Source organism: Homo sapiens, chromosome 17, assembly GCF_000001405.40.
Source record: "Homo sapiens chromosome 17, GRCh38.p14 Primary Assembly".
Taxonomy (NCBI): domain Eukaryota; kingdom Metazoa; phylum Chordata; class Mammalia; order Primates; family Hominidae; genus Homo; species Homo sapiens.
This window is the reverse complement of record NC_000017.11, coordinates 39,442,666-39,469,024: the sequence shown is the minus strand read 5'-3', so window position 1 is coordinate 39,469,024 and position 26,359 is coordinate 39,442,666. Positions and strand designations below refer to the sequence as shown.

At 46.0% G+C, this 26,359-nt stretch overlaps 2 protein-coding genes across 52 annotated transcripts in view, besides 6 other annotated features; one reads left to right on the top strand and one right to left on the bottom strand.

Moving 5' to 3' along the window:
* CDK12 (cyclin dependent kinase 12) overlaps window positions 1-7,539 on the bottom strand; it is a 106,074-nt gene extending 98,535 nt beyond the window's left edge. For all 50 annotated transcript variants that reach the window (XM_047436256.1, XM_047436261.1, XM_047436260.1 and 47 more), the window contains exon 1: window positions 5,908-7,539. In XM_047436256.1, the coding sequence (XP_047292212.1) occupies window positions 5,908-6,953 (1,046 nt within the window). In that variant the 5' untranslated portion in view covers window positions 6,954-7,539. The remainder of the gene's footprint in view (window positions 1-5,907) is intronic.
* Window positions 5,913-7,112: an enhancer, noted in NCBI's record as "CDK7 strongly-dependent group 2 enhancer chr17:37618166-37619365 (GRCh37/hg19 assembly coordinates)". NCBI's record gives its function as "activates an origin of replication core promoter dependent on BRD2, BRD4, P300/CBP, MED14 and CDK7 cofactors, with strong dependence on CDK7, by STARR-seq in HCT116 cells {active_cell/tissue: HCT116}" and the evidence as "EXISTENCE:reporter gene assay evidence [ECO:0000049][PMID:35650434]".
* Window positions 5,913-7,762: a biological region, named in NCBI's record as "CDK7 strongly-dependent group 2 enhancer GRCh37_chr17:37618166-37619365".
* Window positions 6,758-6,887: an enhancer, noted in NCBI's record as "active region_12096". NCBI's record gives its function as "activates an Ori minimal core promoter by ATAC-STARR-seq in GM12878 lymphoblastoid cells {active_cell/tissue: GM12878}" and the evidence as "EXISTENCE:reporter gene assay evidence [ECO:0000049][PMID:35858748]".
* Window positions 6,838-7,762: an enhancer, noted in NCBI's record as "NANOG-H3K27ac-H3K4me1 hESC enhancer chr17:37617516-37618440 (GRCh37/hg19 assembly coordinates)". NCBI's record gives its function as "activates a minimal SCP1, AML or CMV promoter by ChIP-STARR-seq in naive H9 embryonic stem cells {active_cell/tissue: H9 hESC(naive)}" and the evidence as "EXISTENCE:reporter gene assay evidence [ECO:0000049][PMID:30033119]".
* Window positions 7,278-7,337: an enhancer, noted in NCBI's record as "active region_12095". NCBI's record gives its function as "activates an Ori minimal core promoter by ATAC-STARR-seq in GM12878 lymphoblastoid cells {active_cell/tissue: GM12878}" and the evidence as "EXISTENCE:reporter gene assay evidence [ECO:0000049][PMID:35858748]".
* Window positions 7,428-7,477: an enhancer, noted in NCBI's record as "active region_12094". NCBI's record gives its function as "activates an Ori minimal core promoter by ATAC-STARR-seq in GM12878 lymphoblastoid cells {active_cell/tissue: GM12878}" and the evidence as "EXISTENCE:reporter gene assay evidence [ECO:0000049][PMID:35858748]".
* Window positions 17,762-26,359, top strand: part of MED1 (mediator complex subunit 1) — a 46,979-nt gene continuing 38,381 nt past the window's right edge. For both annotated transcript variants that reach the window (XM_006721957.3, NM_004774.4), the window contains exons 1-3: window positions 17,762-17,987; window positions 21,121-21,227; window positions 25,397-25,475. In XM_006721957.3, the coding sequence (XP_006722020.1) occupies window positions 17,963-17,987; window positions 21,121-21,227; window positions 25,397-25,475 (211 nt within the window). In that variant the 5' untranslated portion in view covers window positions 17,762-17,962. The remainder of the gene's footprint in view (window positions 17,988-21,120; window positions 21,228-25,396; window positions 25,476-26,359) is intronic.

The following is a 26,359-nucleotide window of genomic DNA, read 5'->3' as shown; positions in this document are numbered from 1 at the left end:
AAACCCTGTATCTACTAAAAATACAAAAATTAGCTGGGTGTGGTGGTACATGCTTGTATTCCCAGCTACTTGGGAGGCTGAGGGAGGAGAATCACTTGAACCCAGGAGGCGGAGGTTGCAGTAAGCCAAGGTTGCAGTGAGCAGAGATTGCGCCACTGCACTCCAGGCTGGCGACAGAGCGAAAATCTGTCTCAAAATAAATAAATAAATAAATAAATTAATTAATTAATTAAAATAAAAACATTAAAAGTGCCGGGCACTGTGGCTCACGCCTGTAATCCCAACACTTTCGGAGGCTGAGGCAGGCGGATTACCTGAGTTCGGGAGTTCGAGACCAGCCTGACCAATATGGAGAAACCCTGTCTCTACTAAAAATACAAAATTAGCCGGGCATGGTGATGCATGCCTGTAATCCCAGCTACTCGGGAGGCTGAAGCAGGAGAACCGCTTGAACCTGGGAGGCAGAGGTTGTGGTAAGCTGAGATTGTGCCAATGCACTCCAGCCTGGGCAACAAGAGTGAAACTCCGTCTCAAAAAAATAAATAAATAAAATAAAAATATTAAAAGCATAATTGGACAAAACAAAATTTTCCCAGTAGTCTAAAACAAATTGCTTCCATTCTAGATCATCACATCTTCCTTTATCTTTGATCAGGGAGATATGGTAAGACTGACATATAGTAAGACTGACATGAACCAAAATGTTTCAAAACAACATATATGTGTAAGGGAAACAACTTGCATAATGGCAGCGATGATTTTCTTTTACCTATACTGCTTCTTGCAAGTTTGCTTCCAAAAGTCAGTTAAAATATAAAATTATTATTGGAAGCTGGGCGCGGTGGCTCACGCCTGTAATCCCAGCATTTTGGGAGGCTGAGGCGGGTGGATCACCCTGATCAAGAGTTTGAGACCAGCCTGACCAATATGGTGAAATCCCAGCTCTACTAAAAATACAAAAAAATTAGCCGGGCATGGTGGTGTGCGCCTGTAATCCCAGCTGCTCGGGAGGCTAAGGCAGGAGAATTGCTTGAACCCGGGAGGCGGAGGTTGCAGTAAGCCAAGATCACGCCACTGCACTCCAGCCTGGGTGACAGAGAGACACTCCATCTCAAAAAAAAAAACAAAACTAAAAATATTGTTGGAATCAATAGGACTAAAAAACAACAACGCAAACATGAACATGAGAATATAAAATACTGAAAGGTACTGATATTGACCAAATATGCACTTACCCTTAAGAAAACTAACATTCCTTCTGTACATATTTGGCTGAAACAAGAGTTTTTCTCTGCTTGAAATACAGCTAAGTAACATCTCTATCCCAGGGAAAACATGTAAAACCCAAAACACTAATGCCAGCTAGCTACCAAGTACTACTGTTTTAGTCAGCATGACCAAATCTTCCTAAGGAAGTCTGTTAGAAACCCTTCAATTTCTCACAGAAGCCTACTGTTAACAGATTTGGATGGCCATATACTTGTGGTATTTTTAGTGATACAAATGCTACATTTAAGTTCCAGGTTCACTCTTCTAGAAAAAAGCGGAGGAGTAGACAACAAATAGGTAAACACAGCCAGCAATAAGCAATGTGTCTTCAAGAAATGTCTTCAAAAACAAATGTATTTCCCCCCCACTCACCGAATTAAGTTAGGTTCCACTCAACTATTAATCATTGCTAATCTAGCGGATGCAAAGACACTGCATTTCTGCCAAAGCATTTTCAGTCTTTTAAAATTAGGTTGTTTCGCCGGGCATGGTGGCTCATGCCTGTAATCCCAGCGCTTTGGGAGGCTGAGGCAGGCAGATCCTGAGGTCAAGAGATCAAGACCATCCTGGCCAACATGGTGAAACCCCGTCTCTACTAAAAATACAAAAATTAGCTGGGCATGGTGACGCGCGCCTGTAGTCCCAGCTACTTGGGAGGCTGAGGCAGGAGAATCGCTTGAACCTGGGAGGCGGAGGTTGCAGTGAGCTGAGATCGCACCACTGCACTCCAGCCTGGCGACAGAAACTCTGTCTCAAATTAAAAAAATAAAATAAAATAAAATAAAATAAAATGTTGCTTATTTCATTTTGACTGTCTCCCAAGGAAAAAAACACAAGAGAATATCATAGAAGGGATCTATATGTTCCTCTGACTCTACAAAATTTTTGTACTGTTTAGAATTTCAATCAATGAAGAAAAACATGTAATGCACACATACAAACATATAATGCTCTCTATAAGCCAACTAAAAGCGTGCATGTGTCTCTGGGAATATTATATGTTTATATTTGCATGCTACGCTACCATATTGTGTCTCCAATTTTTTCTAAACTTATTTTTACCATTACTGACTAAATTATGTGAGTAGAGATTCATCTGCTTTTTTTTTTTTTTTTTTTTTTTTTTTTTTTTTTTTTTTTCAGATAGAGTTTCACTCTTGTTGCCCAGGATGGAGTGCAATTATTGCAATCGCGGCTCACCTCAACCTCCTCCTCCTGGGTTCAAGCAATTCTCCTGCCTCAGCCTCCCAAGTAGCTGGGATTACAGGCATGTGACACCACGCCCAGCTAATTTTGTATTTTTAGTAGAGAAAGGGTTTCTCCATGTTGGTCAGGCTGGTCTCGAACTCCCGACCTCAGGTGATCCGCCTGCCTCAGCCTCCCAAAGTGCTAGGATTACAGGCGTGATCCACTGCGCCTGGCCTTTTTCTTTCTTTTTTTTTTTTTTTGAGACGCAGTCTCATTCTGTCGCCCAGGCTGGAGTGCAGTGGCGTGACTTTGGCTCACTATAACCTCTGCCTCCCAGGTTCAAGCGATTCTCCTGCCTCAGCCTCCCGAGTAGCTGGGATTATAGGTGCATGCCACCACGCCTGGCTAATTTTTGTATTTTTAGTAGGGACGGGGTTTCACCACGCTGGCCAGGCTGGTCTCAAACTCCTGACCTCAGGAGATCTGCCCGCCTTGGCCTCCCAAAGTGCTTGGGATTATAGGCATAAGCCACCACGCCCAGCCTCCTCTACTCTCTTAAGAGAACATGAGATATGCTGTTTTACCTAAGAATCCAAAAGGAATCACTAGAAAGAAGCACTTCTTACTGAAACTCCTTTTAGTGTTTTAGTCTTAGCACACTCTTCTCTATTCCCATACCCTAAAGTTAACAATTTTTACAGCCTTAATGAACTACTCTATCAAGAAACAAATATCCTAAGAATACTTTTTAGACTTCCTTAAAACACTAAGCAGCATGGCTGTGCGCATTGGCTCACGCCTGTAATCCCAGCACTTTAGGAGGCCGAGGCTGGCGGATCACCTGAGGTCAGGAGTTGGAGACCAACCTGGCCAACATGGTAAAGCCCTGTCTCTACTAAAAAAACACAAAAATTAGCCAGATGTGATGGTGGGCGCTTGTAATTCCAGCTACTCTCAGGAGGCTGAGGCAGGAGAATAGCTTGAACCCGAGAGGCAGAGGTTGCAGTGAACCGAGATCGCTCCACTGCACTCCAGCCTGGGCAACAAAACAAGACTCTGTCTCAAAAAAAAACAAAAAACAAAGCAGCTTTACAAATGCTACACTTAAGACTTAGGCATTTTACTGTATATAAATTTTACTCCTCACCCCTCCAAAAAAAAAAAAAGGGTAATCCAGCTAATGGTAAACATGTTAAAGTGTTTAGAATGAAGTATACTGATGTCTACAACTTACTTTGAAATAAATGAAAATAAAAGATAGATTAATGGACAGGTAGATAGATTACAAAATACATGGCTTTTTTTTTTTTTTTTTTAAGACTGAGTCTTACTCTGTCTCTGTCACCTAGGCTGGAGTGCAATGGCACGATCTCAGCTCACTGCAACCTCTGCCTCCCGGGCTCAACTGATTCTCCTGCCTCAGCCTTCCGAGTAGCTGGGACTACAGGCGCACGCCACCACACCCAACTAATTTTTTATATTTTTATAGAGACAGCATTTCACCACATTGGCCACGCTGGTCTCAAACTCCCTACCTCGTGATCCGCCCACCTCGGCCTCCCAAAGTGCTGAGATTACAGGTGTGAGCCACTCCTGGCCCAATTTTTTTTTTTTTTGAGACAGGGTCTCACTCTGTTGCTCAGGCTGGAGTGCAGTGGTGTGATCACAGCTCACTGCAGCCTTGACTTCCTAGGCTCAAGCAATCCTCCCACCTCAGCCTCCCAGGCAGTGGGGACTACAGATGTGCACCACCGCGACCAGCTAATTTTTTTTTTTTTCCTGTAGAGAACGGGGCCTCACTATGTTGCCCAGCCTGGATACAGCAAATATTTATTGTAGAATCTTGCTGTTACATATATGGGTGTTCACTACAACCTTTCTGTGCTGGAAAATTTTTTATAATAAAATGGAGGAGGAAACATTAAGAACTCCAGCCCTTGACAGCTAGGAACACTCTGCAGCTTGATGTACTCACACCATTTATGAATTGTAACTTTAAGTCAGCAAAAATTACACTGAAATACAAAAGCCATGCATGAGCCAGGCGTGGTGGCTCATGCCTGTAATCCCAGCACTTTGGGAGGCAGGAGGATTGCTTGAGCTCAGGAGTTCAAGACCATCCTGGGCAACAGGGCAAAACCCAGTCTCTACAAAAAAAAAAAAGAAAAAGAAAAAAAAAATTAGCCAGGCATGGTGGCATGAACCTGTAATCCCAGCTACTCAGGAGGCTGAGGTGGACGGATTGCTTGAGCCTGGGAAGTCAAGGCTGCAGTGAGCCAAGATGATGCCACTGCACTCCAGCCTAGGCAACAGGGCAAGATCTTGTCTTTCAAAAAAAAAAAAAGTCATGCATGAATTTTTTTCAAATTAGCACAATTTCTCTACCAGTGTTCAACATCCTCACTCATAATTTACTGAGTGATATTATGTACAAGGCACTGTGCTATGCACTTCAAATTGACTAATTTAATCATCACAACCCTTAAAAGTAGGTATTTATTATTCCCATTTTACACCTGAAGCAACTCAGGCAAGGAGAAATTAACTCATTTGCTAAAGGTCACAAAGCAACATTAGGATTCCACAAAGGTCTAACTAAAGCCCACATTCTGTTTTTGTGAACAGAAGTGAGGCCACAAAGGAGATACATCTCATTACCTAGGAACAAGAACACAGTTTTCCAAATAATTCACTCTAACAACAAAATTTCAAACTAGCATGCCTTTCTCGCAAAAATATAAAGAAGGCATTATTACTATGTGTTTTAGAGAAAGATTTTGAAAATTGTCAGCGGTCACAAGGTAGGTCAGTGATGATGCTGTAAAGAAAACCAAATTGTCCTTGGAACCAATTTCTGCTAGGTTATACCATTAAAAGGGTAACAGACTAATCAGCTGAATTTCCACTAAAACATCAGTTAAAAGACAGGAATCTTTTGTAAATAATTAAAACAGTGCCAAGTAGGAAATGAATAAATGTACAGGTTTGGGGATTCAGTGGACAACACAAATAGGATAAACTAGGCAAGTAACTTCCATACCAATTTCTTAAGTCTTCAACCAGGTCCCATAGAGTCTAAAGCACAAATACCAATGTGATTTTTAAAAATATAAAACTAAGCAACAGAAATAGCTAGACATGCTCTGGGAACTAGTATCAACTCCATCCACTCACTAAGCAGAAGCCTTTGACGTTTCTCACTCAGAAGCTTACAACTGAAGACCCCACCACTGGAAGTACCTACCTTTGGCGGTTTGAGGCCTATGTACTCTTCACTTCTCGAATTCTGGGTTAAGGGGAGACAGATTCACACACTGGAATGACTAGCCAACAGCAAAGTGTTCTAGTCAATGATGAACACTGCGGGCTTCCAGACAATGTTAACACGCTGAATGCCAATTCCTCGCAACCCACCCTAAATGAGGAAGGACTGTTAGACAAATAGCTCACCTGGGGAGTGGACTCCGACTCAGAGACCGCTTGCTCAGGAAAGGGCTGCTGGACCGCCTTCGACCATAGGGACTGGGCGATCGCCCGCTGTAAGAGCCACTTCTTTCGTAGCTGGACGACCGTCTCCTGCTATAGGGACTGACAGATCTCTGTCGCCTACTGTAGGGGCTCGGTGACCGGGTGCTGGACTGGTAGGCCGAAGGCTCCTTGTAAGGGGGACTGACCGACTGCCTTCTCGAGGTACTTCCAGGACTTTTCTTGTAGGAGTCATAATTGCTCGAGGTATGAGATCGTGAGGGACTAAGGTCATAATCTTGGCCATAAGAAGCTCCCGAGGGGCTATCATCTTGTTTGGAGCTGTCAGACCACTTCCTGTGGGGGCTCCTGGATCTCCGTTTTGGGCTGTCCACTGTTTTGTAACTTTTGGGTGTTTCCCTTTTTCGATGACTTTTACTCCGGTCTTTGTGCCCAGACTTCAGCTCCCGTTCTTTCCTGGTCTTCTCCTTGTGGAGCTTGGATGACCTGGATTCCTTGCTGCTGCTTTTGGCTACCTGCGCCTTCCCATAGTCATCAGTCTCCTCATTCGAACGCTTTGAACTTCCCGATATCCGGTCCTTCATCGATCCCGACTTGCTGGAGACTTCTTGGCTTTTTTCTTTTTCGGTCTGTTTAGCTTTTAGTAAGTCCCGGGAACGCCTGTGCTGGTGGTGACGATGTTTGTGCAGGCGGTCGCTCCGATCTGATCCACGACGTTCGTCGTTCTCCCTTCGGTCTAGTTTGAAGGCCATGTCATCGGAGAAGGTGTCGGAATCAGAGCTGATATCATCATACTCCACCAAAGGTTTGATAACTGTGCCCAGGGATGCTGCTTCGGGGGTCACCAACCCCATGTCTTTGGAGTGTTTGGACTTATGCCGCTTGTGCTTCGATACCAAGCGGTGACGCTCTCTGCTGTTAGAGCTGCCGCCTCCCGATGACGGCTGCAAAGTTCCAGAAGCTCCTCCACTCCCGTCCTTCTTGCCCCCATGTCTCTCTGAATTGGGCATTCCCTTTCCCCTGACCTGAAGAAGGGAAAAAAGTTCCCCAGCACTCCAAAAAGCAACCCCCACCCACCCCCCCAACCCCAACTCCACGCCCACCAAAGCGCCCCGGGAAGGGGGTGGGGAGGGCAGGGACGGTAGCCCAGGCTCCTCCTCCCTCCCGACGCCTCAGCACCCTTCTACATGAGGTGGGGGGTGAAGGAGCGAGGGAAGAAATGAGAGTTCCTCGGCAGTGGAGTTGCGAGACAACGGGGAGCTGCTCAAGTCTGTTTCCTCTTCTCCCTCCGCCGAGCCAGTCCTCAGGCCCGGGCGCCGGGGAGGTCCAGGAAGTGAGAAGCCGACGGCCCGGGGCTGTGGAGCCGACTCCAGCTCTGGGGCCCTGCGAGGACTACGCGGGCCCTTCCCCTACCCGGTAGCCCGGTTCAGGACGGCTTCCTGTCGCCGGGGTGCCGCGGCCTAGGTGCCTCACGCCCCCTTTGTCCCTCGCTCCTGAGGTAGCCCCCTTTCTTGCCTCCGTTTCACCTCCACACCACACACACTCTCTCCCTCACACAGACCCAGTCACACACTAGATTAAACCGAAACGGCACTTGGGGAAGGGGGGAGGGGCAATCCCAGAAATCGTCGCGAGAGTCCAGTAGCCTCTCGCGATGTTTCGTGCTTCGCTTTCACCTCATTCCCCTGCTTATCAAACAACGCGAGATCAGGTCCCAAACTAGAAACGCGTTTCACCTGAGTCTCGCGATGAGCTCCCGGAGCTCCCCGTTTGAGCAAAGCTTTATTGAAACGGAACAAACCGAGTTTTTTTTTTTTAACCAAAACTTTATCGGTAACTGATTAAACAAACACTCCCAGGCTCCGTGACAAAATAATTTCAACATCCTTTTTAACAAATCTTTTAACTACCAGGATGACTTTTTTTTGTTTGTTTTTTGTTTTCCTTTGAGACGGAGTCTCGCTCTGTAGCCCATCCTGGAGTGTTAGTGGCGCGATCTCGGCTCACTGCAACCTCCACCTCCTGGGTTCAAGCGATTCTCCTGCCTCAGCCTCCCGAGTAGCTGGGATTACAGGCGCCCGCCACCACGCCCGGCTAACTTTTTTGTTTTTAGTAGAGACAGGGTTTCACCATGTTGGCCAGGCTGGTCTCGACCTCCTGACCTCAAGTGATCCTCCCGCCTCGGCCTCCCAAAGTGCTAGGATTACAGGCGTGAACCGCCGCGCCGGGCCATTTTTTTGTTTGTTTGAGACAAGTTCTCTCTCTTTTGCCCAGACTGGAGTGCAGTGGCACGATCTCGGCTCACTGCAGCCTCCACCTCCTGGGCTCAAGCAATCCTCCCACCTCATCCTGCCGAGTACTTGGAACTATAGAGTCGCGCCACCACGCCGTGCTAATTTGTTTCTATTATTCGTAGTGATGGGGTTTCGCCATGTTGCCCAGGCTAGTCTCGAACTCCTAGACTCAAGCAATCCGCGATCCTTGGTCTTGAACTCCTAGAATGAAGCAATCTGCCCGTCTGGTCCTCCCAAAGTGGCGGGATTACAGGCTTGAGCCACCGCGCCCGGTTGAGATTATTTTTTACAGAGCAAAAGACAAATGTCGGGACATTTCAACCCAAGTCCCTGAGTGTTTTAACAGTGCTTCCCACATATAGGGTGTGTGCTACCTGCCAAGAATTTTACATACATTATCTCTAATTTTCACAATTATCCTGCAAAACACGAGATTTTCATCCCTGTTTTATAGAAAAGGAATCCCAGCCTCAGGGAAGTTGAATAATTTGGTCCAACAAGTGCCACAGTCAACATTCAAATTCATGTCTTTCTGAGACTAAAACACAAGCTCTTCCATCCTATGGTGTTGTCTCCTTACCAATCTTTGCTTCAAATCTCAGAACCTAAAAGCTCATCCCATCTTGAGATCCTCCCATGGCCGTTATTGGATAATTTAGCCTTTCATCCTCATACAAAAGATTATAATATGAACAAGAAAAGCATAGTATTAATTAACAAGAAAATAACACTATCTTACACTGGCCCCTCATTTATTACTTTTTAAAAAACTTTCGCCTACCTTAAGTCATTCCATCTTCACAACAGTCCTCTGAAATAGGTTGTATAAGTGAGAAAACTAAGGCATGGAGAAATGAAGGGGCTTGTCCAAAACGGAGAAGTTCAGCTGGTAAATTCAGGACCAGAAAACATTCTGAATTAAGGTAGTCTCAATTCTCAAAAATCACTCTCTGTAAATGTTCTTGTTCCTTTTGCTCACAGGGCGATCCAAAACATTTTTTTTTTTTAACCTAATTTTGTGTGTGTGTGTGAAGGGTCTCGCTCTGTCGCCCAGGCTGGAGTGCAGTGGCACAATCATAACTCACTGTAGCCTTCCCCTCATGGGCTCAGGTGATCCTCCCATCTCAGCCTCCTGAGTAGCTGAGACTACAGCCACAGGCCACCAGCCCAGCTAATTTTTATTTTTATTTTTTTGTAGAGATGGAGGGCTGGCTATGTTGCCGAGTCTGACCTCAGATGCCTGGGCTCAAGCATTCCATCCACTTTGGCCCCCAAAGTGTTAGGATTACAGGCGTGAGCCACCACGCCCGCCGTCTCTAAATGATTGAGTCCATAAATATTGGTTCTAAAATAAAAAGATCAGGCCAGGCACAGTGGCTCACTCCTGTAATCCCAGCACTTTGGGAGGCCAAGGTGGGCAGATCACAAGGTCAAGAGATGGAGACGATCCTGGCCAACATGGGGAAACCCCGTCTCTACTAAAAACACAAAAATTAGCTGGGCTTGGTGGCACACACCTGCAGTCCCAGCTACTCGTGAGGCTGAGGCAGAGGTTGAACCCTGGAGGCAGAGGTTGCAGCGAGCCGAGATCGCGCCACTGCACTCCAGCCTGGCAACAGAGCAAGACTCCGTCTCAAAATAAATAAGTAAATAATAAAAAAATTTAAAAAATAAAAAGACCAAGTTTTCCACGACAACTTTTTGATCTTCTATGGAAGTAAAATTAATGCTATCAAGAAAAAAGAAGTGGCTGGGAGCAGTGGCTCATGCCTGTAATCCCAGCACTTTGGGAGGCCAAGAGGGGAGGATCATTTGAGGTCAGGAGTAAGACCAGCCTGGCCAATGCAGTGAAACCCTGTTTCTACTAAAAATACAAAAATAGGCCGGGCGCAGTGGCTCACTCCTGTAACCCCAGCACTTTGGGAGCCGAGGCGGGCAGATCAGGAGGTCAGGAGATCGAGACCATCCTGGCTAACACGGTGAAACCCCGTCTCTACTAAAAATACAAAAAAATTAGCTGGGCGTGGTGGCGGGTGCCTGTAGTCGCAGCTACTCAGGAGGCTGAAGCAGGAGAATGGTGTGAACCCGGGAGGCAGAGATTGCAGTGAGGGGAGATCACGCTACTGGGAGGCAGAGATTGCAGTGAGGGGAGATCACGCTACTGCACTCCAGCCTGGGCAACAGAGCAAGACTCTGCCTCAAAAAAAAAAAAAATTAGAGGCCAAGCACTGTGGCTCATGCCTGTAATCCCAGCACTTTGGGAGGCCGAAGTGGGAGGACCACTTGAGGTCAGCAGTTCAAGACCAGCCTGGCCAACACAGTGAAATCCTATCTCTACTAAAAATACAAAAATTAGTCAGGCGTGGTGGTGATCGCCTGTAATCACAGATATTCAGGAGGTTGAGACAGGAGAATCGCTTGAACCCAGAACGCAGAAGTTGCAGTGAGCCAAGATCGTGCCACTGCGCTCCAGCCTGGGTGACAGAGCAAGACTCTGTTTCAAAAACAAACAAACAAACAACAAAAAAATATATATATATTTATATATACACACACACAAAAATTAGCCAGGCATGGTGGCATATGCCTGTAATTCCAGCTACTCAGGAGGCTGAGGCATGAGAATCACTAGAACCTGGGAGGCAGAGGTTGCAGTGAGCTAAGATTGCACCACTGCATTCCAACCTGGGCAACAGAGTGAGAATCCATCTAAAAAAAAAAAAAAGTGGCTAACAAAAAGAAAAAAGGGCTGAGTGTGGTGGCTGACATCTGTAAAACCAACAATTTGGAAGGCCAACATGGAAGGAATTCGTGAGCCCAGAAATTGGAGACCAGCCTGGGCAACATGTTGAGACATCTGTCTCTACAAAAAAATACAAGAAATGACAGGCCGAGCAAGGTGGCTCATGCCTGTAATCCCAGCAATTTGGGAGGCCGAGGCAGGCAAATTGCCTGAGTTCAGGAGTTTGAGACCAGCCTGGGCAACACGGTAAAACCCCATCTCTACTAAAATACAAAAGAAATTAGCCGCCGGGCTTGGTGGCTCACGCCTGTAATCCCAGCACTTTGGGAGGCTGAGGCGGGCGGATCACCTGAGGTCGGGAGTTCGAGACCAGCCCGACCAACATGGAGAAACCCCGTCTCTATTAAAAATACTAAAAAATTAGCTGGGCATGGTGGCCCATGCTTGTAATCCCAGCTACTCGGGAGGCTGAGGCAGGAGAATCGCTTGAACGCAGGAGGCGGAGGTTGCAGTGAGCCGAGATTGGGCCATCGCACTCCAGCCTGTGCAACAAAAGAGAAACTCTGTCTCAAAAAAAAAAAAAAAAATTAGCCAGGCGTAGTGGTGTGGGCCTGTATTCTCAGCTATTCGGGAGGCTGAGGCAGGAGAATTGCTTGAACCCAGGAGGCAGAGCTTGCAGTGAGCCAAGATCACGCCACTGCACTCCAGCCTGGGCGACAGAGCGAGACTCCGTCCCTACCAAAAACAAACAAACAAAAACAAGAAATTAACCAGGCATGGTGTTGCTTGCCTATAGTCCCAGCTACTATGAGGCTGAGATGGGAGGATCACTTGAGCCCAGGAGGTCAAGGCTGCAATGAGCCATGATCATGCCACTGCACTCCAGCCTGGGTAACAGAACAAGAACCTGCCTCAAAAAAGAAAAGAAAAAAGAAAAACACGGGCCAGGCATGGAGGCTCACGCCTGTAATCCCAGTACTTTGGGAGGCCGAGGCAAGCAGATCACCTGAGGTCAGGAGTTCAAGACCAGCCTGACCAACAAGAAGAAACCCCGTCTCTACTAAAAATACAAAAATTAGCCCAGCGTGGTGGCACATGCCTGTAATCTCAGCTACTAGGGAGGCTGAGGCAGGAGAATTGCTTGAACCCGGGAGGTGGAGGTTGCGGTGAGATGAGATGGTGCCATTGCACTCAGCCTGGGCAACAAGAGTGAAACTGTCTCCAAAAAAAAAAAAAAAAAAGAAAAGAAAAGAAAAACACAAGTACTGGAACTCAGTTGTGAACACTCCTTATTCACCGCTATAGGAGGATAGGACACCCTGGATATATTTTCTTGAGACAAGGTCTTGCTGTGCTGCCCAGGCTGGAGTACAGTGTTGCCAGGACAACCTGGATTTATTTTCTTGAGACAAGGTCTTGCTCTGTTGCCCAGGCTGGAGTACAGTGGTATGACCATGACACACTGCAGTCTTTTTTTTTTTTTTTTTGAGATGAAGTCTCGCTCTTGTCCCCCAGGCTGGAGTGCAATGGCACGATCTCGGCTCAGTGCAAGCTCCACCTCCTGGGTTCAAGTGATTCTCCTGCCTCAGCCTCCTGAGTAGCTGGGATTACAGGCGCCTGCCACCATGCCCGGCTCATTTTTGTATTTTTAGTAGAGATGGGGTTTCGCCATGTGGCTAGGCTGGTCTCGAACTCCTGACCTCAGGTGATCCACCCACCTTGGCCTCCCAAAGGGCTGGGATTACAGGTGTGAACCACTGTGTCCGGCTGACACACTGCCATCTTCACTTCCTGAGCTCAAGCAATCCTCCAGCCTCAGCCTCTCCTGGCTGGGATTACAGGTGTAAGCCACAGAGCCTGGCTAATTTTTTTTTTATTTTTTGTAAAGACGGGGTCTTGCTATGTTGCCCAGGCTGCTCTTGAAGTCCTCGGCTCAAGGGATCCTCCCACCTGGACTCCCAAGATGCTCGGAATACAGGCATGGGCCACTGTGTCTGGCCTTGAATGTTTTACATGATGACAGATGGCATGAGACTTCCTGGGCTGATTAAATGTAGTGACCAGTCAGCCATAGTAAGTGTTGGCATGGGTTTGTTGTCATGAGTTCAATAAAATTCACCCTGATTTTTCTGTCTTTTAAATGAGATCAGGTTTTTATTTTTAATTTCTTTTTTTGAGATGGAGTCTTGCTCCGTTGCCAGGCTGGAGTGCGGTGGCACTATCTTGGCTCACTGCAACCTCTGCCTCTCTGATTCAAGCGATCCTCCTGCCTCAGCCTTCTTAGTAGCTGGGATTACAGGCACACGCCACCATGCCTGGCTAATTTTTGTATGTTTAGTAGAGACGGGGTTTCACCATGTTGATCAGGCTGGTCTTGAACTCCTGACCTCATGATCCACCCGCCTTGGCCTCCCAAAGGGCTGGGATTACAGGTGTGAGCCACCATGCCTGGCCTTTTTTTTGGGATGGAGTCTCCCTCTGTTGCCTAGGCTGGAGTGCAATGGCTTCATCTCGGCTCACTGCAACCTCCGCCTCCCAGGTTCAAGCAATTCTCTGCCTCAGCCTTCTCAGTAGCTGGGATTACAGGCGCCTGCCACCATGTTCAGATGATTTTTTTTTAATTTTTAATAGAGACGTGGTTTCACCATCTTGGCCAGGCTGGTCTTGAACTCCTGACCTTGTGATCACCCCCCGCCTTGGCCTCACAAAGTGCTGGGATTACAGGTGCAAGCCACTGTGCCTGGCTGAGATCAAGTTTTTAATTCACGATGTACCCACAGTAGAATGGAAAAGTGAAGACGACAGAAGGCATCGGTGATGTGTCAAAATCTGGAAGAATTAAATTGATTATCCAGATTAAACACCAGCAGAAACTTTTTTTCTTTTTTTGAGACGGAGTCTCACTCTGTCACCTAGGTTGGAGTGCAGTGGTGCGATCTCGTCTCGCTGCAAGCTTCGCCTCGATCTCGGCTCACTGCAAGCTCCGCCTCCCGGATTCACACCATTCTCCTATCTCAGCCTCCCAAATGGCTGGGATTACGGGTGCCTGCCACCATGCCCGGCTAATTTTTTGTATTTGTAGTAGAGACCGGGTTTCACTGTGTTGGCCAGGATGGTCTTGATCTCCTGACCTCGTGATCTGCTCGCCCCGGCCTCCCAAAGTGTTTGTATTACAGGCGTGAGCCACTGCACCTGGCTGAACCTTTCAAAATTATCTGTTACTGCCTCTTGAAGCCAATTAGAGACCAGTAACTAATGAAAGAATGAAGCTTTATCCCTGAAACTTTGAACTTATAATATCTTGAATTTCTATAGCACTTTAAAATTTTTCACGGAACTCTTTTAATCCCGTCAATAAATTTCAATTGAATAAATAAACTAATGAAATTATGTTATTTTTATTACTATTTTTATTTTTTTTTTTGAGACTAAGTCTCCCTCTGTCGCCCAGGCTGGAGTGCAGTGGCACGATTACAGGCATGAGCCACCACACCGCACCAGGCCTATTATTATTATTATGCTTATTGAGAACAGTTTCAATCTGTGGCCTAGGCTGGAGTGCACTGGCAGGATCTTGGCTCACTGCAACCTCCACCTCCCAGGTTCAAGCAATTCTCCTGCCTCAGCCTCCCAAATAGCTGGGATTACAGGCATGCGCCACCATGCCCGGCTAATTTTTTTGTATTATTTTGTATTTTGTATTATTAGTAGAGACAGACTTTGGCCATGTTGGCTAGGCTGTTCTCGAACTCCTGACCTTAAGTGATCCACCCACCTCAGCCTCCCAAAGGGCTGGGATTATAGGCGTGAGCCACTTATTATCGACATCTAATATAGGTTAAACTGACACTGAGAAGGAGTTAGATTGGACCATGTTGACACTTAAGTGTAGAAAGTGCCTGGAGCCGGGACACCTCACTTCTACATACTAAACCAGTACTTTGTATTGAACTACCCTTCCTTCCTCCCTCCCTCCCTTCCTTCCTTCTTTTCCTTTCTTTCTCTCTCTCTCTTTCTTTTAGATAATCTCCCTAACATGGTATTCCTCTTTTTGGTGAATAAAATTCTGCAGCAGAAAATCTCAGGCTGTATCTAAATTTTAAAATACAATATCTACTGTAAACTGCAGGTATTGATCCAATCTGTGCTTTTGTAAAATAAGGGTTGCTTCATTATACAGAAAAACTTTGAACTCAGAAATTCCAGGACTGCTCCATTTGCTTTATTTGCATAACCTTCAAGGGCAGAGAGTCAGGGCAACTCTGTGAACCCCAAGTGATCAGTCAGGTGATGGCAATACTTAGCCTGCAAATCTACTAAAACAAGTCAGAAAGTTTCCATTTAGGCTGTACACAAGAAGAAATATTTAACTAAAGTTTCAATAGCTCTTTTTCCCCAACAAACCAATTTGTTAGTTTAGATTTTAGGTTTAGAGTCCTCTGGGCCGGGCACAGTGGCTCATGCCTGTAATCGTAACACTTTGGGAGGCCAACGTGGGTGGATTGCCTGAGCTCAAGTTCGAGACCAGCCTGGGCAACATAGTGAAACTCTGTCTCTACTAAAATACAAAAAAATTAGCTGGGTGGTGTGGCATACACCTGTAGTCCCAGCTACTTGGGAGGCTGAGGCAGAAGAATTGCTTGAACCCAGGAGGCGGGGGTTGCAGTGAGCCGAGATTGTGCCACTGCACTCCAGCCTTGGCGACAGAGCGAGACACTGTCTCAAAAAAAAAAAAAAAAAAAAAAAAAAAAAAAGAGTCCTTTGGCGCCTCCTTCAAAGCTTAGTCACTTACAATTTGCCCATTGTACCCATTTTCCTATGTATACTGTTCCTATATGTACCTTGAATACTTTTCTTGTTTAATGACATGGCTTTCTTTTTTTTTTTCAGACTCCGTCTTGCTCTTATTGCCCAGACTGGAGTGCGATGACACGATCTTGGCTCACTGCAACCTCCACTTCCCGGATTGAAGCGATTCTCCTGCCTCAGCCTCCCCAGTAGCTGGGATTACAGGCATGTGTCACCACACCCGGCTAATTTTTTGTATTTTTAGTAGAAATGGGGTTTCACCATTTTGGCCAGGCTGGTCTCGACCTCCTGATCTCAAGTACCTGCCTCAGCCTCCCAAAGGACATTGCTCTCTTATCTTCTAGAGTAGAACTTTTCCAATGGTGTCTCTCATCTGCATTTTCAGATGACAAATGATAACTTCTCATTCCATTCTGTAACCAGAAGTTAGTAAAGTTTATTTATAAGCTTTATAAAGTTAAAAATTTCCTAGCAACACTTAGTACAGACTTTTTTTTTTATTTGTATAGAGTTTCCATGATAAAGTGTAGTTGGGTATCTGGCATTGGTACTTAGGGCATAATAATTAATGAAAAAATTTTGAGCCCCTATGATTATAGTGACCAATCATATTTTCGGAACTCTAAATAAGATTAGCCTATCAAGCGCTAGGGTTGTGTTTTCATGTTTGTTTATTTGTCTGAGACAGAGTCTTGCTCTGCCACCCAGGCTGGAGTGCAGTAGCATGATCTCGGCTCACTGCAACCTCTGCCTCCCAGGTTCAAGCGCTTCTCCTGCTTCAGCCTCCTGAGTAGCTCCGCGACCAGCCGTGTTTTCATGTTTGTATTAGCAGCTCCAAATATACACATATTAGGACTCCACAGATGCTTACTAAGTGAAGAACACTTAGTTTGAGGATAGTAAAGGATACAGTTTTTTCTTTTTGAGACAGTCTCACTCTGTCACCCAGGTTGGAGTGCAGTGACGCGATCTCTGCTCACTGCAACTTTCGCTTCACGGGTTCCAGAGATTCTCCTGCTTCAGCCTCCCGAGTAGCTGGGATTACAGGAGCGCACCACCACACCTGGCTAATTTTTGTATTTTTCGTAGAGACGGAGTTTTACCATGTTAGCCAGGCTGGTCTCAAACTCCTGACCTGATGATCCACCTACCTTGGCCTCCCAAAGTGCTGGGATTACAGGCATGAGCCACTGCGCCTAGCCAGAAATAGTTTTGAAACTAAAAAAATGAGAAAAGGGGAATTAACTGTGCTATAGGCTCGCTTTGAACGTCATGTTACAATGCGCCACTATCTTTCTTAGGATGTAATTATTGCATCTAGTATCTCAGGTTAAACTTATCTTTCATAAGACACTCCTGATACCAATAGCCTTTGAAAATCTAGTCATGGCCGGGTGTGGTGGCTCATGCCTGTAATCCCAGCACTTTGGGAGGCCGAGGCGGGCGGACAGCGAGGTCAGGAGTTCGAGACCAGCCTGGCCAACACGGCGAAACCCCGTCTCTACTAAAAATAGCTGGGCGTGGTGGCGGGTGCCTGTAATCCCAGCTACTCGGGAGGCTGAGGCAGGAGAATCGCTTGAACCCGGGAGGCGGAGGTTGCAGTGAGCCGACATCGTGCCATTGCACTCCAGCCTGGGCGACAAGAGCAAGACTCCATCTCAAAAAAAAAAAAAAAAAAATTAAAAAAAAAAGAAAAGCTAGTCTTTCAGTACAGGGATCTGGAGATTTTAATTTGCGAGCTGTTTAACTGCTAAAATAAAAAAAAAATGGCGGTTTCCGCAGGGGAGCCGAAAGCTACCGGCCGGCAGGTTTAATATCCAGCGGCGCGAGGCCTGAGACAGCTCAGATCAAAGGGAAGACTGCGCTGAAAGAAATCTCGCGAGGCCGACGCATTGACCAATATTCGCGAGATTTCGATGCCCTGTCCTCTTCCTCTCTCTGGCAGGACCACGGTTTATCTCGCGAATTTTGGGAAGTTCCGTTGGGGAAGATGGCGGCGGCCTCGAGCACCCTTCTCTTCTTGCCGCCGGGGACTTCAGATTGATCCTTCCCGGGAAGAGTAGGGACTGCTGGTGCCCTGCGTCCCGGGATCCCGAGCCAACTTGTTTCCTCCGTTAGTGGTGGGGAAGGGCTTATCCTTTTGTGGCGGATCTAGCTTCTCCTCGCCTTCAGGATGAAAGCTCAGGGGGAAACCGAGGGTAAGTGACTGTAGGGGAAAGGAGGGGGCGGGACACAACTGGGGGAGCCAGTTTGTGAGAGGAGGTTCTTGCAGATGTCCCATGGGGGCCACTTTAGGGGCATAGAGTCCAGGAGAGGGAATGTGTATTAGTTTTAGATTGTCACTATACCCTCCTTGGTGATTATAGAGCTTCGACTTTAGGGCGATGGGGACTCTCAACTTCTGTGAAGATTTCATGCTCGACTAGGGCACTTTTGGCCTAAAGTGGTGGGAGACGGGGCAAATGAATACAAAATCAGCTTACATCTCGTTCCAGAAGAGACGCCTGAATAAATTTAGGGCTGTGTGTAAACGTACTGGAGACTATTTTGGCATCAATGAAATGATTAGGTCCTTATATTTATTAGCAGCCAGCAGTTCTCTACAATGTCAAGTGTTCAGATCCTGTGCCATTGTGTATTTTTAAAGTGCGCTGAATTTCGTTCTTTTATTGACCGAACTACGAACTGCAGAAAAACAACTTTTCTGTGGAACTTTACTAAGATTTTCTAAAGTTCCACACTCCGGCTAAGATGCTGCCTTAGCATTTTGGGCATAGTTCTGTTGATACAGTGAACTGTGTTATTGTTTATCTTCTCCAGTTTCCTCTGAGCTTTGCAGATTAGAGTCCTTGCCTGATTATTTTTGTATAGTTTCTGGCACGTAATAGTCGCTCAAAAAGTGTTGGAGCATCGAAGTACAGATATTTATCAGCAGGTTTCTCAAGAAAAACAAAGAGTGTGTTTTGGAGCAGAGGTCGAAAGGTGAGGCCGGGAGCAGTGACTCACACCTGTAATCCCAGCGCTTTGGGAGGCTGCGGCTGGAGGATCCCTGGAGCCCAGGAGTTCGCGACCAGCCTGGGCAACATACTGAGGCCCTGTCTCTACAAAAAAAATAAAAAAATTGCCGGGCACTGTGGCTCACGCGTGTAATCCCAGCACTTTGGGAGGTTGAGGCGGGTGGATCACCTGAGGTTGGGAGATCGAGACCAGCCTGACCAACATGGAGAAAACCCGTCTCTACTAGAAATACAAAATTAGCCGGGCGTGGTGGTGAATGCCTGTAATCCCAGCTACCTGGGAGGCTGAGGTGGGAGGATTGCTTCAACCCAGGAGGTGGAGGTTGTGGTGAGCCAAGACTGCGCCATTGCATTCCTACCTGGGCTACAAGAGCGAAACTTCGTCTCAAAAAAAAAAAAAAAAAAAAAAGGCCGGGTGTGGTGGCTCACTCCTGTAATCCCAGCACTTTGGGAGGCTGAGGTGGGCGGATCACCTGAGGTTAGGAGTTCAAGACCAGACTGGCTAACATGGTGAAACCCTTTCTCTACTAAAAATACAAAATTAGCCAGGCACAGTGGCATGCCTGCAATCCCAGCTACTTGGTAGGCTGAGGCAGGAGAATCACCCAAACCCGGGAGGTGGAGGTTGCAGTGAGCCAAGATAGTGCCACTGGACTCCAGTCTGGGCAACAAGAGCAAAACTCCGTCTCAAAAAAAAAAAAAAAGAAAAAAAATTGAAAATAAATAAAATAAAAAATTAGCTCCAGGTAGTGGCTCAAGGCTGTAATCCCAGCACCTTGGGAGGCCGAAGCGGGCGAATCACTTGAGCCCACAAGTTGGAGACCAGCCTAGACAACCTGGCAAAAGCCTGTCTCTACAACAGATACAAAAATTAGCTAGGCATGGTGGCACAAGCCAGTAGTCCCAGCTACTTGGGAGGCTGAGGTGGGAGGATTACCTGAATCCTGTAGGTCAAGGCTCCAGTGAGCCAGAATCATGCCACTGCACTGTAACCTGGGCGACAGAGCGAGACCCTGTTTCAAGGGAAAATTAGCTATAGTCTCAGCTACTCTGAAGGCTGAGCTGGGAGGATCACTTGATCCTGGAGCATGGGAGGTTGAGGCTGCAATAGGCCTTGATTGTGCCAGTGCACTCAAGCTGGGGCTACAGAGTGATACTCTGTCTTAAAAAAAAAAAAGAAAAGAAAGATGTACTCCTTGGGTGCAAGGAGACAACAAGTGTAAAAATGGAAACTTCATGAAGTAGGAGTTTTTGTCTAGTTTGTTCATTGCTGTCTTTTTAGCATTTTCATTTATTTATTTATTTATTTGAGACAGAGTTTTGCTCTTGTTGCCCAGGTTGGAGTGCAGTGGCGCAATCTGGGCTCACTGCAACCTCCGCCTCCTGGGTTCAAGTGATTCTCCTGCCTCAGCCTTCCGAGTAGCTGGGATTACAGGCATGTACCACCAAGCCCGGCTAATTTTGTATTTTTAGTAGAGATGGGGTTTCTCCGTGTTGGTCAGGCTGGTCTCGAATTCCCAACCTCAGGTGATCCACCCGCCTTGGCCTCCCAAAGTGCTGGGATTACAGGCGTGAGCCACTCCGCCCAGCCAGCATTTTCATTTATTTTTTTTCTTTTTTTTAAATTTTCCTCTCTAGCCCAGTTCAATAACTTTTTTTTTTTTTTTTTTGACACAATGTCTCCCTCTGTTGCCTAGGATGGAGTAAGTGGTGTGATCAAGGCTCATCACTGAAGCTTCGACCTCCCAGGCTGAGGTGATCCTTCTGCCTCAGCCTCCAGAGTAGCTGGGGACTGACTACAGGCACATGCCAGGAGGCTTGGCTAATTTTTTTCTTTCTTTTTTTTTTTGAGACAGTGTTTCGCTCTGTTGCCCATGCTGGAGTGCAATAGTGTGATCTCGGCTCACTGCAACCTCTGCCTCCTGGATTCAAGCAATTCTCCTCCCTTAGCCTCCCAAGTAGCTGGGATTACAGGCATGCACCACCACATCTGGCTAATTTTGTATTTTCGGTAGAGACAGGGTTTGACACTCCAGCCTGGTCATCAAGAGTGAAACTTAGTCTTTAAAAAAAAAAAAAAAAAGGTGGATAGATAACAGTCCAGTGGTATGGTATTCCTTACATCAGACCCATAACTTGTGTGTCATCTTGCCATTAAAAATGTCTTCTTTGGATGTTTTGAAGTAAAATGATTTTGGAAAATATTTTAACTGAATTCTTACTGTGATGAAGTGTGGGAATTTATTTTGCAAGGAAAACTGTGGATGGTCTTGATAGAACAGTTACTGATAACGTTTTCTGATTTAAATCATAGAGTCAGAAAAGCTGAGTAAGATGAGTTCTCTCCTGGAACGGCTCCATGCAAAATTTAACCAAAATAGACCCTGGAGTGAAACCATTAAGCTTGTGCGTCAAGTCATGGTAAGGATTGTGGTGAAGTGGGTAAAGTGTTTTGCTTAGATAATTATTCTTAATACGCTAAGCTCCCCATGTAGATGTGTTCATACTATCTTCATAAAACATCTGAATACATGGTGGTTTCAACTTTAGGAGTCTATTGTATCTATACTACAGGTTGAATATCCCTTATATGAAATGCTTGGGACCGGAAGTGTTTTAGATTTTGGATTGTTTTGGATTTTGGAATATTTGCAAATATATAATGAGATATCTTGGGGATGGGACCCAAGTCTAAACACATAATTTATTTATGTTTCATAAACACCTTATAGATATAGCCTGAAGGTAATTTTATACAACATATTTAATAATATATTTAATACTTTTGTGTGTGAAACTAAGTTTTTTTTTGTTTTTTTTTTTTATTGAGACGGAGTTTCACTCTTGTTGCCCAGGCTGGGTTGTAATAGCCCGATCTCGGCTCACTGCAACCTCTGCCTCCCAGGTTCAAGTGATTCTTCTGCCTCAGCCTCCCGAATAGCTGGGATTACAGGCATGCGCCACCACGCCCAGCTAATTTTTATATTATTTGTAGAGACGGGGTTTCTCCATGTTGGTCAGGCTGGTCTTGACCTCCAGACCTCAGGTGATCCACCTGCCTTCGCCTCCCAAAGTGCTGGGATTACAGGCGTGAGCCACCGCGTCCAGCCGTTTTGACTGCATTTTGACTATGACCCTGTTATGTGAGGTCAGGTGTGAAATCCTTGGTGGCATCATTGGGAATGCTAAAAAGGTTTTGGATTTGGGAGCATTTCAGATTTTTGATTTTCAGATTAGGTATGCCCAGCCTGTACTAGTAGAATTTTTGATTCATTCTTTTTTTTGAGACCAGGTCTTATCATCCAGGCTCAAGTGCAGTGGCGCGATCATGGCTCACTGCAGCTTCAACTTCCCAGGCTCAGGTGGTTCTCCCACCTCAGCCTCCTAGTATCTGGAACAACAGGTGCATGTAACCATGTCCAGCTAGTTTTTTTTTTTTTTTCTTTGAGATGGAGTCTTGCTCTGTGGCCAGGCTGGAGTGCAATGGTGCGATCTCGGCTCACTGCAACCTCTGCCTCTTAGGTTCAAGAGATTCCCCTGCGTCAGCCTCCCGAGTAGCCGGGACTACAGGCACACGCCACCACGCCTGGCTAATTTTTTGTATTTTAGTAGAGATGGGGTTTCACCATGTTGGTCAGGATGGTCTCCATCTCCTGACCTCGTGATCTGCCTCCCAAAGTGCTGGGATTACAGGCGTGAGCCACTGTGCCCGGCTGCCCAGCTAGTTTTTTATATTTTTTGTAGAAATCGTTTTTTTTTTTTTTTTTTTGAGATGGAGTGTCGCTTTGTCACCCAGGCTGGAGTGCAGTGGTGCGATCTCGGCTCACTGCAAGCTTTGCCTCCCGGGTTCATGCCGTTCTCCTGCCTCAGCCTCCCGAGTAGCTGGGACTACAGGCCCCTGCCACTATTCCCGGCTAACTTTTTGTATTTTTAGTAGAGACGGGGTTTCACCGTGTTAGCCAGGATGGTCTCGATCTCCTGACCTCGTGATCCACCCGTCTCGGCCTCTCAAAGTGCTGGGATTACAGGCGTAGCCACTGCGCTTAGCCAGAAATAGGTTTTTACTCTGTGGCTCAGGCTGGTCTCAAACTTGTGGGCTCAAGTGATCCACCCACTTTGGCCTCCCAAAGTGTTAGGATTACAGTGTGAGCCACCGTGCCTGGCGGATTCATTTTTTTTTTTTTTTTTTAAAGATGGAATCTCTGTCTGTCACCTAGGCTGGAGTGCAGTGGTGGGATCTTGGCTCACTGCATCCTCCGCCTCCTGGGTTCAAGCGATTCTCCTGCCCCAGCCTCCTGAGTAGCTGGTATTACAGGCATCCGCCACCATGCCCAGTTAATTTTTGTATTTTTAGTAGAGATGGGGTTTCACCATGTTAGCCAGGCTGGTCTTGAACTCCTGACCTTGTGATCCACCTGCCTCAGCCTCCCAAAGTGCTGTGATTACGGGTGTGAGCCCCTGTGCCTGGCCCAGGTTGTCATTTTTATTCCTTAAGGCAACCAAATTCTAGCTTGAAATATGTTCTGTAAATGATACTGTCATTAGAGAGACATTGTGAGATAGAAGGATTCCAGGTGGCTAATAAGGCCCTCTCTTTGGGTACCACTCTCTTGGTTTGGTCACCATGACTTTGCTTGTCTACTTTTCAGTTTTGCAGATTCAGAAACCTAATTTTATTGGTACATCAAGATTTTATAGAGTTTTCATGGCTGGGCGTGGTGGTTCACATCTGTAATCCCAGCACTTTGGGAGGCTGAGGCGGGTCGATCACCTGAGGTCAGGAGTTCGAGACCAGGCTGACCAACAAGGTAAAACCCTGTCTCTACTAAAAAGACAAAATTAGCTGGGCATAGTGGCAGGCGCCTGTAGTCCCAGCTACTCGGGAGGCTGAGACAGCAGAACCGCTTGAACCCGGGAGGTGGAGGTTGCAGTGAGCCAAGATCATGCTACTGCACTCCAGTCTGGGCATCGGAGCGAGACTCCATCTCAAAAAAAAAAAAAGAGTTTTCAACAACTGACATACTGTATGCTTATTTATTAATTTATGACAAAACATTTAGTTTTCCAGTTTTCATAATACTGGTATTCATTGACCAGAGCACCTCTTCTCCTGTCAAGAATCAAGAGATTTCAGATTATTAATAAATTACTTTGTTTTGTAAGGGAGAATTAGAGCAGTGAGATAGATTTATTTGCAACATGGAAAAGCCTGGAAAACTATCCTTATACCAGAAAACTGTTCACGTTTTTAGGGACTGGAATGTTTTTCAGAGAGAAACTTCTTCACTGGATAGGGTTAGGAAAACTAGGCTAAGTTTTTTTTTGTTTGTTTGTTTGTTTTGTTTTGTTTGAGATGGAGTCTCACTCTGTCACCAAGGTTGGAGTGCAATGGTGTGGTCTTGGCTCACTGCAACCTCTGCATCCCCGGGTCAAGCGATTCTCCTGCCTCAGCCTCCTGAGTAGCTGGGACTACAGGCGCGTACCACCACACCTGGCTAATTTTTGTATTTTTAGTAGAGATGGGGTTTCACTATGTTGGCCAGGCTGGTCTCGAACTCCTGACCTCATGATCTGCTCGCCTTGGCCTCCCAAAGTGCTGGGATTACAGGCGTGAGCCACTGCAACCGGCCTCAAACTAGGCTAAGTTTTTGTTCTTTGGAAGTCCCTTTTCTGGACTACATGTTCTGTTTCTTTTCTTTTTCTTTTTTTTTTTGAGACAGAGTCTCTCTCTGTCGCCAGGCTGGAGTGCAGTGGTGTGATCTCGGCTCACTGCAACCTCCGCCTCCTGGGTTCAAGTGATTCTCCTGCCTCAGCCTGCTGAGTAGCTGGGACTATAGGCGTGCACCACCACGCCCAGATAATTTTTGTATTTTTAGTAGAGACGGGGTTTCACCATTTTGGCCAGGATGGTCTCAGTCTCTTGACCTCGTGATCCACCCGCCTTGACCTCCCAAAGTGCTGGGATTACAGGTGTGAGCCACCGCACCCAGCCTATATGTTCTGTTTTTTAGAGTCAATCTCATTTTCTTAAAATTTGGTTGTGTTTCTCAGATTACATGCAAATCACCTTGTTAAATTTGTACACTACCAAATCTCCTGAGCCATCTTATTTAACTGTTTATATCTTAGCATGTGGTCACTTCCACAGGCGGCAGATCTCATGTATTACATTTTGATTCTTCCTAATATTTCTCTAAAGGTTTTTTTGTTTTAGATGTGGAAATACAACGTTTTCTTTTTTGTTTTTGACTAAATAGAAACAGGATCTCTCTATCTTGCCTTGGCTGGTCTCGAACTCCTGGACTCAAGTGATTATTCAGCTTTGGCCTCTCAGTGTGCTAGAATTACAGGCATGAGCCACGTGCCTGGCTGAGGAATACCTTTTTCTACACTCATATATATGGATTTTGCATGGATGGACAGAGTAACACTTGTAGACCAGTGTTACTCTATATAGTCTACAAAATCTATAGACTATATTGAGTCTATAGACTGTCCTGCAATATTACTACTAGGATAATGTGTATGTTTACCTAAAACACTGTTGGCCTGGTTAATTTTCACCTCAAATGTTTTCCCACTTGACACAGGAGAAGAGGGTTGTGATGAGTTCTGGAGGGCATCAACATTTGGTCAGCTGTTTGGAGACATTGCAGAAGGCTCTCAAAGGTTTGTGAACACTTTTGAAATATGCTGATTTCACAAAACCCCCAGTTCAAGAAGGACCATTTTATACTTAAACTAGAAGTAAAAAATTGAGGTAGGTCAACTTTATGTATTAGATATTGCTCTTGCATTCATTTATGGAGTTGGAATGATCTTTTTGCTAAAGTTTGAAACATTTATTTTTGATCCTGTTTTGGAGGCTGATAGAGATTTAAAAGATAAATGATGAAGGGTAATATAAGATACCTGGGGAGGCTGGGTGCGGTGGCTCGCTCCTGTAATCCCAGCACTTTGGGAGGCTGAGGTGGGCGGATCACAAGGTCAGGAGTTTGAGACCAGCCTGGCCAACATGGTGAAACCCTGTCTCTACTAAAAATACAAAAATTAGCTGGACGTGGTGGCGGGCACCTATAATCCCAGCTTCTCGGGAGGCTGAGGCAGGAGAACAGTGTGACCTGGGGAGGCGGAGGTTGCAGTGAGCCAAAATCACGCCATTACACTCCAGCCTGGGCAACAGGGCAAGACTTGTCTCAAAAAAAAAAAAAAAAAAAAAAAAGATACCTGGGAAAAGTTTTTTTTCCCTTCACATTTATTTCTGATTAATCTCGATAAGAAGATGGACTTTTTTTTTTTTTTTTTTTTTTTTTGAGATGGAGTTTCACTCTTGTTGCTCTGGCTGGAGTGCAGTGGTGGAATCTCGGCTCACCACAACCTCTGCCTCCTGGGTTCAAGCGATTCTCCTGCCTCAGCCTCCCAAGTAGCTGGGATTACAGGCATGTGCCACCATGCCCGGGTAATTTTATATTTTTAGTAGAGACAGGGTTTTCCATGTTGGTCAGGCTGGTCTCGATCTCTTGACCTCAGGTGATCTGCCCACCTTGGCCTCC